This window comes from Homo sapiens, chromosome 11 (assembly GCF_000001405.40).
Source record: "Homo sapiens chromosome 11, GRCh38.p14 Primary Assembly".
In the NCBI taxonomy this organism is placed as follows: domain Eukaryota; kingdom Metazoa; phylum Chordata; class Mammalia; order Primates; family Hominidae; genus Homo; species Homo sapiens.
The window spans coordinates 31,721,231-31,737,359 of NC_000011.10; the positions used below are offsets into that span (position 1 = coordinate 31,721,231).

The 16,129-nt window shown below is 37.2% G+C and overlaps 1 protein-coding gene and 1 long non-coding RNA gene across 4 annotated transcripts in view; one reads left to right on the plus strand and one right to left on the minus strand.

Moving 5' to 3' along the window:
• ELP4 (elongator acetyltransferase complex subunit 4) overlaps positions 1 to 16,129 on the plus strand; it is a 280,558-nt gene that overhangs the window by 211,464 nt on the left and 52,965 nt on the right. The window lies entirely within an intron of this gene.
• Positions 1 to 16,129, minus strand: part of ELP4-AS1 (ELP4 antisense RNA 1) — a 78,869-nt gene that overhangs the window by 32,208 nt on the left and 30,532 nt on the right. The window lies entirely within an intron of this gene.

The following is a 16,129-nucleotide window of genomic DNA, read 5'->3' on the forward strand; positions in this document are numbered from 1 at the left end:
TCTGAAGTTTCTGTTTCAAGGCTTTTGACATGTCAGCGTGTGTAAATCTAGTCTGATGCCAAGATGCCTTATGCCAATGGGTTCCTTTTGATTTTGGTATGCATGATTTTCCTTGTGCATATTAACCTGTTGCCATTAAAAGAAACAGAAAATTATAAGATCATGTAATATAACATAGGTTCTAGCCACAAATAACATTAGTACTGTATCACAACACTAGTGGATTTTGGTTTGTTAGAATTTTTAACTGTCTTGGCTTTTTTTTTTAATATCCTTTCTAAAACTGTGTATTCAACTCCTGATTTTTCATTCAACCCATGATGATGCTTCCTGACTGCTCAGCTGGAATCTGGATTTGCCTTCTTTCATTCAGCACACTTCTGAAGCAGTGGCAGGTCTTGTGGGGAATTTTGGGGGTAGCAGATTCAAATTTGGCAGGACCCTGGGGACATTAATCAATTGGAAAATATCAATGAGCAAATCATTTCTCAGATAAAATGGTTCAATTAAAAATGATATTGAACTGAAAAAAACAAAACGTTACCAAACTAAAAATGTGTACAATTCATAGGCTCCACGATACGTTTATTTTGTTTCTATGTACTTTTTAGGCTTGATCTTACCATCTTTATAATTTAAATAATTGGCAATAACTTATAACTTGTTGTAATGATAATGAGTTCACCTTTACTACTTACTCCCTGACCGATGTTGTGGCCCTCTCCAGTGCCTTCCTCGCTTTTATTATGTACCCACAGCAGCCTAATACACAGCCCTGTGGCCAGCAGCTTCCACAATATTTGTTGTGGAAAATACTGATTGATATTTTGGGTGAAAAATTGTAACTTAATGGTACTTTATATCATTATTAAACATACATAATATTTCAAATATTAAATAATTGCAATGTTCCTCAGATAAAAACACGTCTATCCAACCTGGCCATTGGAAGTAAGAGAAAACTTCCCACAGAAAACTCTTAATATATTATTTTTGTTGCTGTTGTTGTCTGTTTCCAATGTTTATTCTTTTGTCCAAAACACAAATGATTAAGACTTGAGAATTCAGGAAGGAGGAGTCAGTACTTAATTTCCACTATGTGGAATAAAGAGAATGATAATCTTGGAAATATTGAGCTAGTATGAGTTTTTTAAATTAGTTATACATTTTAAAATTTACATATGATGCTTACAATTGACATTGTCTATATTCAGATAGTTTAATAATCAATCATCTGTGACTTCTCAGTGAAAATGCCTAGTAAAAGTTGTAAAACCCTTCTGTGGAAGAAAGTAAGCCTTGCAGACAGAATGACTACATAGTTTTCAGGGCCCAGTGAAAATGAAAATGTGGGTCCTGTGGTTCAAAAAACCAGAAAACTTGCCATTAAAAATACTAAAACATGAACTTTTTCCCTTTCTCCCAAGGTGTCTCTTCTCTCTCTCTCTCTCTCTCTCTCTCTCTCTGTCTCTCTCTTTCTCTCTCTCTCTCTCTCTTTCTCTCTCCCCCTTTCTCTACCTGTATTGCTGTATTTATTTGCTAATTAAGGTCATGCTCCTTCAGGCACAGGGATACTCAGCACAGACTTCACAGGACCCTGTGGGTCTCACCCCACAACTTGGGACACAAGCAGCCCATTAGGTATCAGGTTTTTGCTCTTGCCAGCCACTGAGCTGACGGGCTGTGGTCACCAGAAGTGGGGAAGTCGAGCCAGGCATCACCCTCCCACAGGCCCGCTGCCCCAGCCCTCTCTGGATGGCTTTTGCAGCCTCCATGCTGGAATGTGGTAGGTACCTGGATGAGAGGTGGCAAGAAGCTTACCCCTGCCCAGTCACCCACCAAAGTCCTGAGGCACTGCCAGTTTAGGGCAGGACAACTGTCTCCATGTCCCATCTCAAGATGCCATGGGTCAACCCTAATCCTTTTTACACCCTCATCTAGGCCCTGAATGAGGCAGAAAGCAATAGCAGTCACTAGTCACTAAGGAAGGAGAAAGGAGGCTGGGAATCCTGTGAGGGCTGAAGCCCCAGCATATGGCAGAGCAGGTATGGACTACCCATCCTAGAGGCCAGGGGACAGGGACTGCATAGTAACCAACACCACCCCCGCCCCCCGCCACCCACTCCCCCAGGTCCACACATACTTCATTGTTCCCACAAACTTCACTTACAAAACATAAATTCAATAATGAAATCATTAGGAATTTCATGACAGCAAACACAGAACATTAAACCCCAAACACAGGACCCTTCGAAGCACAGTTTTCTGTGTGATGCCAAAGAAGCTGGACCCACCTGCTGGATAGACCCAATCTACCTACAATAAAATAATGGCTAATATGTATTATGCCAGACATTGTTCTAAGCACTTTACATGTATTAACTCATTAATCCTCAAAGACCTTAATGTATATGCCATCATTATCCCCATTTTACAGCTGAAGTAACTGATACCCAAGATCACTGTGTGGTAAAGCGCACATGGAGGATTCAAACCCTGACAGTCCGCCTCCAAAAGATTCTTATAGGAGAACTGAAAAAGGAGCAAATAACTTATTTATGCACTGAAAAAGCAGATCATATTTATAAACACTGTACAGTGTTCGAGGCTTTGTCTTAAAGCAAATTTCTAGAAGATAAAATCCTAATTGGTTGCAGGTACCTTGAGTGAATAGGCTGTCTCCTTCATCTAGTTAGAACACTAAATGCAACTATCAAATAAATAGGGTTGTCTATGTGAAAGGCCTGGAGATATTAAATGTAAAGCAAAGGGGATTTATGGATACTTCAAAAATTGCGACATTTTAAAACTTTCTATAGATGGCTGCTCTAACCCTCACCTCTACCCCCACATTGCCCAGCCCGAGGTTATGTAGCTAATTAATGACAGAACTGGGTTTCCCATCAGTTTGTCCTGGTCAAGGAAGTGGAAAGGAAGTTACCAGGCCCCTCTTATATTGTTAGTGCATGCTTAGGCCCCTCTAGAAGACTGGACTGGGAAGAGGAAGGATGTGGGAAGAAAGGGCGTGTCAACCAACATCTTACTGCTGGCTTTATTTTCTTCTTGTCTCCCTGATCAAAGATGATTTCATGTTTCTTTATATAAAAACTAACATTGACTGCAACCTTTTCATTTTAATCATAGTTGTAATTATGAAATCACTGTTTTAATTGAAATGCTGTTATAAAATATTAACTAATTATAATGGAGGCATTGCTGGACCAACTTGTCTAAAGCCATGTCTCCAAAATAGAAGAATTTAAAGATAATAAGCCGTGTAATTCCTTGACTCCAGTGCCTTCAAATCACCAACAAGACAGATCCTAATAATTCTCATTAACTTTATTTGTGGATTTGCAAGTGACCAGGCCAGAGGCCATGACTTACTTCTTCCACAGTCTTTCTTTCACTCCAGAGTGTAGGATGTCACCATACAAAAGCATGAAATAAGAGCCATGGCCAACATGTTTTACCAGTTTATTGAGGCATCTCAACTCAGGAAACATACACATTAAACAGTTTGATTTGTTCTTATTGTGGCTTTCAAGTGTGCTTTGTAAAATCTTTTCCTGTCCCTTACATATATCTTTGTGTTATTCTGCAGCTTTGGGGTCACTTGTTTATTAAAATTCAGTGTTGTTTAAAATTTTAATCTCAAATATAGTTTAAAATCTCCTCTGCTTTTTTCCCAATGCAGACTTCAATGAGGATCCTCACTATTTGAGATGTTGAAGGAATTAGAGAGCAAAATCTGGTTCAAAGATTGTGGTTCTCCCTCCTCTTTGCAAGACCTGGTTCCTCCAATTCGTTGGGCCAGGGGAAAAAGAGTGGGAATAGGCATATGTTTCTTTACACAGCTGCCCTCTCAAGAGTCTGCTGTTCATTATGACTGCTTCTCTGACTACCTCTGAGGCAGGAATCCAAATGCTGGCCTTTTCACGGGCTAGATGTTTGAGTTTTTCAGAGGCCCTGTGATGCATCCACATCATACTTTCTGATGTCAGGGTACAGCAATTGTTACATCTCCTCTCCTGCCCACAGTGGTGTGCCTCACCAGCCTCTTGCTGATGGATTCCCCTTGCCAGGCAGGTCATCATCTTGGGTAGAACACCAGCAGACTGAACTCAGCAAGTGAAACTCATCCTGCTTGTCCCACAGGAATTTCCTACATCCTTGCCAGGCCAGACCATGGTCATGCAAGCTGCTCCACCACCACCCCTTCTCTCTGCCCTGCCATTTCTCTCTAGTTCTCCCTGCCTTGCTTGACAGGAACAGGGACAGATAAGCACATTCTCTGCCTAGACTGATGTTCACTGGGGAATGGAGTGCCAATCTTTTCATCTTGCAAGCTTGGCCAGACTTTGAGTTTGTCTCTTGGAGCCCCACCCAGCACTTTTGAAACCAGCTTCACAAAATAAAATCTTTTCACCACAAGCACTGTATTTCCCACACAGACAAGTTACCTCATAACTCTTGCCATTCCTTCCCGAAACTTCTTAAGTTGGAGCCATGGCTGTGGTAGTGGGTATACCTCTTCCACCCTTAGAGGGTATCTGGGTCCAATTGCTGAAGCCTCACTTTGGGCATTGCTTAGTCTCTATTGTTGCCAGGGATGGGTCCATCCTGTAAGCAACTACTCCCCATGCCGTTATATTTATATGCTGATAGAAGGAGTAATTTTTGATGCAGCGTCAAGTTCTTGAGAAATTCTTGACACACAGTAAAAAAATTTTTTACATATCGGTTTCCTTACCTTTTCAGAAAAGGCTAAGATTCTAAGAATGCTTAACAAAGGAGGGTGGTATATCAGATAGACTTTGGCAAAATGAATAGGATTGAGGAAAGATAATCTCAGAGGAGAATGTAAACAGAGGTTGAGATCTGGAAAATTGAGGAACAGATTTGGGGAAAGTGAGTAAGCTTTTTTTCTAATGAAAATACAGGATATAAGATCAGAAAAGCAGGCTGGGAACATCAGATCAAGGGGTTATCAAGGACAGAATTGAAGACTATAAACATGAGTACAGTAGAAAGGCTTTTCAGCAGAGTGACCTGTGGGAAATGGAAATTTGGGGAAGTTCACTGTTAGACAAGGTACAGAAGAGGGTGGAGGAAAGGAGACCAGGGAACTGGTATTATAGCAATTTAAAAAGGAAGAAATAAAGGGGCAAGGATACAGGGGAACACATGAAAAGGGAGACTGTAAGCAATATTGGGATCATTTGTGATTTTTGGTAACTAATCTTACAGGAGAGGATATGCCAGCATGTTCCAAATGCCTGCTGTGTAACGCTAATTCTATCAGATGCTACAAATCAACAAAAAATTCTCTGGTCAAATATGCTGAGGAAACTCAGCATAATGTGGTCTCTACTTAAAATTTGTAAAGTAACATAGAAATCCTAATGAAGGGGCAGTGGCCAAAAAGAAAAAAAAAAGGGAATCCTAATGGAAAAGAAAACACCACATTACCTTGTTTAGCCCAGCATTTTTAACAATTATTTGATTATAGAACCGTCTTTTATGTAGGTCGTATCATACAGTACCAGTGTTCCAAGGAATACACTTGGGGAACCACTGGATTATATTATACAATATGAATTGATTGATGTATTGGTTTGCATGTTAATACTATGTTTTTCTATAATAAACAATAAACAGAAACATAATTTATAATGAACTCTGTTTCTGAGTAGGAAATAGTTCTTGAACTGCCTAAGCTTGAGCTATATCTTTTAACACTTGGCCTTGTCTCATTTTCAAAATGAAATATATTTTTATAATAAAAGGCCAAGAATAAGTAGCTCAAATTTCATAATTTTATAGTCATCTCTGGGAATGTAGCCTTAAGAAACATCACTATCTATGGACAGTATCAGTGTCCTCAGCTTTGGGCTCAAAAGAAAAAGAACTTTATTTTTACAGTTTTTTTTTTTTAACTTTAAAGTGAACATATGTAGAGTTTTTATTTGGGAGACTAACGAGGAAAGCTGTGTCTCATTTGTTATATTGCTTCACATAATAACTGCTAACTAAAAATGTGTTTGATTATGAAAGGAGAGTAGATATTAATTATTTTTTATACATAAAAGAATTTGAGATCTTGATTTATTGGCTCAGACTAGGTAGTTTATGGGAGAAGGAGGACTTGGGAGAATCAGGTCTCATGTTCTTTCTAATATAGCACTTCTCCTTAAAGAATAGAAGATAAGGTTACCACTTTTATTGAATGTCAAAAGGACATTTCCTTTGTTTGTAAATTATTTCAAACTGCTAAGAGGGCCAAGCCACAGAAGCTACTGTGTTCGCTTACTCTTGGACATGACTCCCTCCCTTCCAAACATTTATTAATGTCAGTGAACATAGTAAATGTGTCTATCTTGTCTTTATACTTTTCACTGTATCCACTAAAGAATATCAAAGACTAGTAAGCTCTGATGGTGAAGGTAGGAAATATGCCCATTATCTATTATTATTGTTTCACATAATAACTACTCGAATAATGAAGAATTATTGAATAATGAAGAAACTGAGACTCAGAAAGGTAGTAACTTACCACAGCCATAGGACAGGTTGATGACAGAAAGAGCATGTATCTTCAGCTTCTTTGTAGCACAAACACTGCATAGCATCAAGCATTCAGAATAGATACTCTAAGTGCACATCTATTGAATAGAAGATTTGTTGGCAGAGATGATAAGCAGTATCTTATGCATAGACCTACAAGTATGTTTTTCAATTTAAAGAGGCTCATCTATCTCAAAGATAAAGTGCCTGTTACTTTACATCAAGCATGAAATACTGCCATTATATTACTTCCCAAAAAAAGCATATAAACAAAACTTATAAGAGAAATAATCTCCAACAATAGAATAAAGATGATTATAGGTTTTAAAAGCTATTTGCTTTATATCATTAATAAGGATATGCTAGGTTGAAGAATACGTAATCTATTGAAGGGTTGTTACCTCAGAGGATGGAGCTAGGGAATTAAGAATGCGAAGGGCATTTTTAGTTTTTCTTGTATACATATAGTATTTTACATTATATTTATTATAAGCATATATTACTGTTATAATTTTTTCAAAGTTCATAAAAATGTCCTTTAAAGAATAAAAGCATAGAATTAACTTGGTAGACATTTATGCTTTTGTCAAAAAATTAAGTATTTCAAGTATATAGATACTATTAGAAAGCTTCTGTGTACCTAGTACCCTAATTGTGACAAACATAAATGTTTTAGGGAAGTAAAATTTTTAAAAAGTAATACCCCAAATTTACCCAGCTAACCAATAGTAAGTATGAGTTCTTAGGCTTTCCTGCCTGTATCTATATAGATATACAAAGTAGCATATGCTGCAAAAGCTCTAAGTCTTTGCAGCAGTGCTCTGCTGAAAAACAGTTGTAACCATTGGTTGCTGGGCAATAGACAACACAGCAAACCCAGCTCCCTTCACTTCAACGTTTATTTATCTGGATTAATGATGTAGATCATCATAAACAAACAAGATATTTGTTATATAAATAGGATAGCTAATGCATTTCAGGAAATTTTAAGATTTTCCTTAGTGTTCATGTGTACTTTCAGTGCTTTTAACCTTGAAAGAGATATATATTGTTTGGAAACCAAAATTAAAGTTAAGTTGAAAGGGTACAGTGTGATCTCCTTGCCTCGTGATAAATTACACCATGAATCTTAGGAAGGCATATTGAGCTTTCTATTTGAATTGTTTCATAATAGATAGAAATTATAGAATAAATTCATTTATATTAAAGCACAAAATAGTCTCATTAGCTAGAGGAGAAAATTCTAAGGTATTCCTGGCTCTCTTTCTCTTCCAAATTTCAAAGAAAAATCAAATCCAAAAGAAAGGTTTTAAACTAGTGAAACAGAATATTGTAATTGTAGCTCATTTTAAAATGTGCTTGTTCATTTTTAAGGGCTAAGAAAGTTATACGTGTAGTATATTTCAAAATGTTTTATGAGGTAGGATGTCTACTGTAAGTTATAATGGATGTACTAAACCATAATAACAATCAGTACCAAAGCTCTATGGTCTCTGAACAGATTGTTTCCGCAATTAGTATCTATGTACTAACTTAGCAATAAAAATATGTATTGGCCCATTTCCTCAGGCTCTACCTCATGGGGATGATACAAAAATAAAATGAAATAATAGGCAAATAATCATTTTGGGAATTAAATATAAAATGTCACTAGTGGCATAATGTGTAATAAAAATAATAATAGATACCAATACTGACATACTAGAAATTAGACTTCAGATCTCAAAAAAACATTTTTGTTGTTAAACGCTTCTAACACCCTTTTGTTTGGTTCTCATGGTAATCTGTATTAGTGGGAAAGCTTTGGGGCTTTCTATATGCATAAATGCTTCAGCTGTTTAATAAATTAACCCATTTACTACTATACTCCAAAAACTGATTGCCATCTTTATACACCCAGCCATTTTCATCAAACAACCAGTTGGCTTATTAATTATAAAATTGGTTATCAGTATGAGTGTGTGACACAGCTTGAATGAAAGCTTTTTCCAAAAATGCTTGTTCTCTTCTAGCTTGTCTACGTATAATTCAGCCACATTGACTACAGCACCATTAGTTTGGCTGAGACTTATTCTTCATATAATTTAGTGGCTATTAATCAGTGAGATTGTGTTATTAAGGAAGCCAACTTAAGAAAAGTCTAGTAGTGACATCTGCGAGATTGTAGAATAGGAATCCCCAGACATTCTTTCCTTCTGTGGAAATACCAATTCAACACCAAAACATAGACCAGTTCCCTTTGTGAGAAATCCAGAAACCAGTTAGGATACTCCCACACCCCAGGCAAGTGCAAAATTAGCCACTGTAAGCCAACAGGAAAATTCATTGCACCCTCTCACCATTGTCCTTGCATACTCCGAGTCAATCAGGAGGTGTTTTAGTCCATTTGTGCTACTATAACAAAATGCCACAGACCTGGGTAATTTATAAACAATAGACATTTATTTCTCACAATCTTGGTGGCTGGGAATTCCAAGATCAAGGCACCAACAGGTTCAGTGTCTGGTGAAGGCCTGTCTAGGTGTTCTCACATGGTGGAAGGAGCAGAAGAGCAAGAACACACTCCCTTCAACCTCAAATTCCATTCATAAAGGCAAGCCTTCATGACTTAATCACCTCCTAAAGGCCACACCTCTTAATATTGTTGTATTGGGGATTACATTTTAACATGAATTTTGGAGGGAACATCATCATGCAGAAGGAAACTCTCAGCTCCAAGCTTCTCCATGGACAGAGAAGACTGGACCATAAACATCCAACATTCTGACTTCTGAGGGGAGCTGCCCAAGGGACTGGCTTCTGTGTCATCTCTCTCAGAGCACTGACACGGCCTGGCATACTCTAGATGCATTAGGGCACTGAGAGCAAGAGCTTGGCAGTGTGCTACTGCTCAAGAAACTGCAGTATAGCAGACACAGGAAAATACAACTTGGTTAGCTCTATCTCAAGGGGAAAGAGAAGAATGGAGCATGTGTTCAACATTCTAGCATTTTAGGGGGCTGCCCAAGGGGCTGAATTCCTTCTAGCCTGACATAGGACACTGACAGGACCCAGCATATTCTAGATTCCTGGGGGTCACTGAGAACAAAAAAGAGCTGGGTGATGTCCTGCTGCTTTAGAAGACCTTCAGTATATCAGAGGAATCAGAGGGAGCAAGAGATTACAAGCTCCTGAAAAAAAAAAAGAAGCCAGCAAATCTAAGTAAAAATCTAAACACACAAGTTTAGAGAAGACACATCAGAGAAAAAGCTTGAAAGACTCCCAGAACCTCTAATCAGGCTGATTGGCAAAAGTCTTTCTCTGTACAAAGCCAGTCTGAAAAAACTGAGAGAGGTGGTTACTTTGTCAAATGTGTAGATACCAACACAAAGTTATAAGAACGTGAAGAAACAGGGAAATAGGCCAATCAAAGGAGCAAAATAAATTTCCAGAAACAAACCCTTAAAAAACAGGTATGTGAATTGCTTGACAAAGAATTCAAGGTAACCATCATAAATATGTTAATCAAACTCAGAGAAACTATGTGTGAACAAAATGAGTATTTCAACAAAGAAATAGAAAATATAAAAGAACCAAACAAAGTTTGGAGCTGAAGAGTGCAATAACTAAACTTTTAAAAATTCCCTAGAGGGTTCAACAGCAGACTTGATCAAGCTGAAGAAAGAACCAACAAACTTGAAGACAGATCATTTGAAATTATCCCGTCAGAGAAGCAAAAAGAAAAAAAGAATGAAGAAAACCTAGGGGACTTATGGTACACCATTAAGCAGGTGTGTGTGTGTGTGTGTGTGTGTGTGTGTGTGTAGTCTGTGAAGAAGAGAGAAAAAAGGAGGCAGAAAGCTTCTTTAAAGAAATAGTGGAAACAACTCCCCAAATCTGGGGCTGGAAATGTATATCCAAATTCAAGAAGCCCAGTGGATCCCAAAGAAGATGAATCCAATGAAGTCAACACTAAGACACATTATAATCAAACTGTCAGAAATAAAAGACAGAATTTTGAAACAACAAAAGAAAACTGAATCATCACAAACAAGGGAAACTTCATAAGACTATCGGTGGATTTCATAGCAGAAACTTTGGAGGCAATATGAGAATGGGATAATATATTCAAAGTGCTGAATGAAAAAAAAAATTGCCAACAAAGAATAGTATCTCTGGCAAAACTATTCTTCAAAAATGGAGCAATAAAGACTCTCCTAGATATTCAGAAGCTGTGGGAGTTCATCACCACTACACCTGCCATCCAAGAAAGGCTAAAGGGAGTCCTTCAAGTTGAAATGAAAAGACACTAAACAGTAACACGAACAGGGAAGTATAAAGCTTGCTGATAAAGGTAAATATATAGACAAATACAGAATACTGTAACACTGTAATAGTAGTATATAAATCACTTTTAATTCTATAGAATTTAAATAAAAGTAGAGTATCTATAACTATAAAAATATGCAAATGGATACACAGTATAACAAGATCTACTTTGTGACATAAATAATATAAAGTGGGTGGGGGTAGTGATAGAATAGTTTTTGTATGCACTTGAAGTTAAGTTGTTATCAGCTTAAAATATTTTGTTATAATTGTAAAATGTTTTGTGTTAGCCCCATGGTAACCACAAAGAAAATACCTTTAGAAGATACAAAAGAAAATGATAAAGGAATCAAAGCATGTCACTAAAAAAAAAAAAAATAAATGAAAACAGAAAGGAAAACTGCAAGAGAGGATAAGACAGAAAACAACAAAATGGCAATGGTAACTTCCTCTCTATTCAAAATTACTTTAAATGTAAATGGATTAAACTGCCTAAGCAAAAGACACAGAGTGGCTGAATGAGTTTTAAAAATAACATCCAACTATATGCTGTCTACAAGAGATTCACTTAGATATAAGGGGACACATCAGCTGAAAGAAGAGGGATGGAAAAAGATACTTCATGCAAATGGAAACCAAAATAGAGTAGGAGTAGCCATACTTTTATCACACAAAATATACTTTTTGTCAAAAACTGACACAAGAGACAAAGAAGGACATTACGTAATGATAAGAGGGATAATTCACCAGGAAGATATAGCAATTGTAAATTGTTATATAAATGTACCCAGCATCAGAGCACCCAAATAGATGAAGCAAACAGTGACAGAACTGAAGGGAGAAATATGCAGCAAGACAATAATAGTAGGAGATTTCATACCCCACTTTAAATAATAGAAGAGACAGAAGCTTGGTAAGGAAACAGAGGACTTGAACAACACTACAGACCAAATGTATCTAACAGACATACAAAACACCATACCCAACAGCTGCAGAATATACATTGTTCTCATGCACACATAGGACATTCTTCAAAACAGATCACAAGTTAGGTCACAAAATAAGTCTTAACAAATTTAAGAAGATTAAAATGGGCATGGTGGCCCACACCTGTAATCTCAGCAATTTGGGAGGCTGAGGCGGGTGGATCACTTGAGGTCAGGAGTTCAAGACCAGCCTGGCCAACATGGTGAAACCCCATCTCTACTAAAAATACAAAAGCCTAGCCAGGAGTGGTGGCGTACACCTGTACTCCCAGCTACTCCAGAGGCTGAGGCAGGAGAATTGCTGAAACCTGGAAGGTGGAGGTTGCAGTGAGCCAAGATCACGCCACTGCACTCCTGCCTGGGTGACAGAGTGAGACTCCATCTCAAAAAAAAAAAAAAAAAAAGGAAAGGAAAAGAAATGAAAGAGGAGACATTACAACTGACTCTACAGAAGTAAAAAGGATTAAAAGAGATTATTGTGAACAATTATAAGTCAACAAATTGGATCATGTGGAAAACAATGGATAAATTCCTAGAAGTCTATAGTCTACCAAGACTATGAATGGTAAATAATGAAGAATTTTAAAGCCTAAACAAAATATAATTAATAAGGCTATTGAAGCAGTAATTAAAAATCTTCCAACAAAGAAAATCTCAGGACCAGATGGCTTCACTGGTGAATTCTACCAAACGTTTAAAAAAGAATTAATGCCAATTCTTCTCAAACTCTTACAAAAAATTGAAGAGTAGGGAACACATCCAGATTCATTTTATGAGGCCAGCATTACTCTGATAGGAAAGCCAGATTAAAAACACCACAAGAAAATAAAACTGTAGGCCACTATCTGTGATGAAGATAGATGCAAAAATCTTCAACAAAAAACCTAGCAAATCAAATTCAACAACACAGTAAAAGAATCATACATCATACCAAATGGAATTTATCCCTGGGATGCAAGGATGGCTCAACATAAGAACATTATTGAATTTGATACATCACATTAACAGATTGAGGGATGAAAAAGCACATGATCATCTTAATATATGCCCCCAAAAAAGTATTTGACAAAAGTCAGCACACTTTCATGATAAAAACAGAACCTAGGAATGAAAAGAAATTATAGCAACATAATAAAGACCATATATGAGAAGCCCACAGCTAACATACTGTATGGTGAAAAACTGAAAGCTCTTCCTCTAAGATCAGGAACAAGGCAAGGATGCCCATTCTTGCCACTTCTATCGAACGTAGTACTGGAAGCCCTAGCCAGAACAACTAGGCAATAGAAAGAAATTAAAGGCATCCATATCAGAAAGGAAGAAGCAAAATGCTGTCTGTTTAAGATGACATCTTATATGTAGAAAACCCTAAAGATTCCATTTAAAAAACTGCTAGAACTAATAAATGAATTCAGCAAAGTTGCTGGATTGAAAAGACAACAAGGAAAACTTAGTTGTGTTTCTGTACACTAGCACTAAACAGTCAAAAGGAAAATTAAGAAAGAAAACAATTTCATTTACAAGGCATAAACATGAATAAAATACTTAGGAAAAAACTTCACCAAGAAGGCAAAAGTATTGTACACTGAAAACTATAAAACACTGCTACAAGAAATTAAAGCAGACATAAACAAATGGAAAGAAATACTGTGTTCATAGATTGGAAGACTTGATATTGTTAAAATGTTCATAGTACCCAGAACAATCTACACGTTCAATGCAATCCCTATGGGAAGCCCAGTGGTATTTTTTACAGAAATAGAAAAATCTAAAATTCATATGGAATAACAAAGGACCTAAAATAGCCAATACAATCATGAGAAAGAAGAACAAAGCTGGAGTCTTCACATGTCCTGATTTTGAAACATATTACAAAGCTACAGTAATCAAAACAGTATAATACTGGCATAAAGACATACATATAGACCAATAGAAAAGAATACACAGCCCAGAAATAAATGCACAACTGTATGGTGAACTGACTTTTGACAAAGGTGCCAAGAATACATAATGAGGAAACGGTAGTGTTTTCAACAAATGGTATTGGGAAAACTGGATATCCATTGGCAAAAAAAAAAAAAACACGCACAAAAAAAAGAGATTGGATCCTCATCTTACACCATATAGAAAAATAAACTCAAAATGGATTAAAGACTTAACCATATGACCTGAAACTGTTTAAAACACCTAGAAGAAAATATAAGAGAAAAGCTGTATGACATTGATCTTGGATATGACGTGAAAAGCACAGGTAACAAAAGCAAAAGTAAACAAGTAGTACTTTAAAAAATAAAAGCTTCTCATTCCCTTTGAAAGCTGGCACAAGACAGGGATGCCCTCTCTCACCACTCCTATTCAACATAATGTTGGAAGTTCTGGCCAGGGCAATCAGGCAAGAGAAGGAAATACAGGGCATTCAACTAAGAAAAGAGGAAGTCAAATTGTCCCTGTTTGCAGATGACATGATTGTATATCTAGAAAACCCCATCGTCTCAGCCCAAAATCTCCTTAAGCTGATAAGCAACTTCAGCAAAGTCTCAGGATACAAAATCAATGTACAAAAATCACAAGCATTCTTATACACCATTAACAGACAAACAGAGAGCCAAATCATGAGTGAACTCCCATTCACAATTGCTTCAAAGAGAATAAAATACCTAGGAATCCAACTTACAAGAGATATGAAGGACCTCTTCAAGGGGAACTACAAACCACTGCTCAATGAAATAAAAGAGGATAAAAACAAATGGAAGAACATTCCATGCTCATGAGTAGGAAGAATCAATATCGTGAAAATGGCCATACTTCCCAAGGTAATTTATAGATTCAATGCCATCCCCATCAAGCTACCAATGACTTTCTTCACAGAATTGGAAAAAACTATTTTAAAGTTCATATGGAACCAAAAAAGAGCCCGCATTGCCAAGTCAATCCTAAGCCAAAATAGCAAAGCTGGAGGCATCATGCTACCTGACTTCAAACTATACTACAAGGCTACAGTAACCAAAACAGCATGGTACTGGTACCAAAACAGAGCTGTAGACCAATGGAACAGAACAGAGCCCTCAGAAATAAAGCCGCATATCTACAACTATCTGATCTTTGACAAACCTGAGAAAAACAAAGAATGGGGAAAGGATTCCCTATTTAATAAATGGTGCTGGGAAAACTTGCTAGCCATATGTAGAAAGCTGAAACTGGACCCCTTCCTTACACCTTATACAAAAATTAATTCAAGCTGGATTAAAGACTTACATGGTAGACCTAAAACCATAAAAACCCTAGAAAAAAACCTAGGTAATACCATTCAGGACATAGGCATGGGCAAGGACTTCATGTCTAAAACACCAAAAGCAATGGCAACAAAAGCCAAAATTGACAAATGGGATCTAATTAAACTAAAGAACTTCTGCACAGCAAAAGAAACTACCATCAGAGTGAACAGGCAACCTACAGAATGGGAGAAAATTTTTGCAACCTACTCATCTGACAAAGGGCTAATATACAGAGTCTACAATGAACTCAAACAAATTTACAAGAAAAAAATAAACAACCTCATCAAAAAGTGGGCAAAGGATCTGAACAGACACTTCTCAAAAGAAGACATTTATGCAGCCAGAAGACACATGAGAAAATGCTCATCATCACTGGCCATCAGAGAAATGCAAATCAAAACCACAATGAGATACCATCTCACACCAGTTAGAATGGCGGTCATTAAAAAGTCAGGTGCTGGAGAGGATGTGGAGAAATAGGAATACTTTTACACTGTTGGTGGGACTGTAAACTAGTTCAACCATTGTGGAAGTCAGTGTGGCGATTCCTTAGGGATCTAGAACTAGAAATACCATTTGACCCAGCCATCCCATTACTGGGTATATACCTAAAGGATTACAAAGCATGCTGCTATAAAGACACATGCACACGTATGTTTATTGCAGCACTATTCACAATAGCAAAGACTTGGAACCAACCCAAATGTCCAACAATGATAGACTGGACGAAGAAAATGTGGCACATATACATCATGGAATACTATGCAGCCATAAAAAAATGATGAGTTCATGTCCTTTGTAGAGACATGGATGAAGCTGGAAACCATCATTCTCAGCAAACTATTGCAAGGACAAAAAACCAAACACTGCATGTTCTCACTCATAGGTGGGAATTGAACTATGAGAACACATGGACACAGGAAGGGGAACATCACACACTGGGGCCTGTTGTGGGGTAGGGGGAGTGGGGAGGGATAGCATTAGGAGATATAC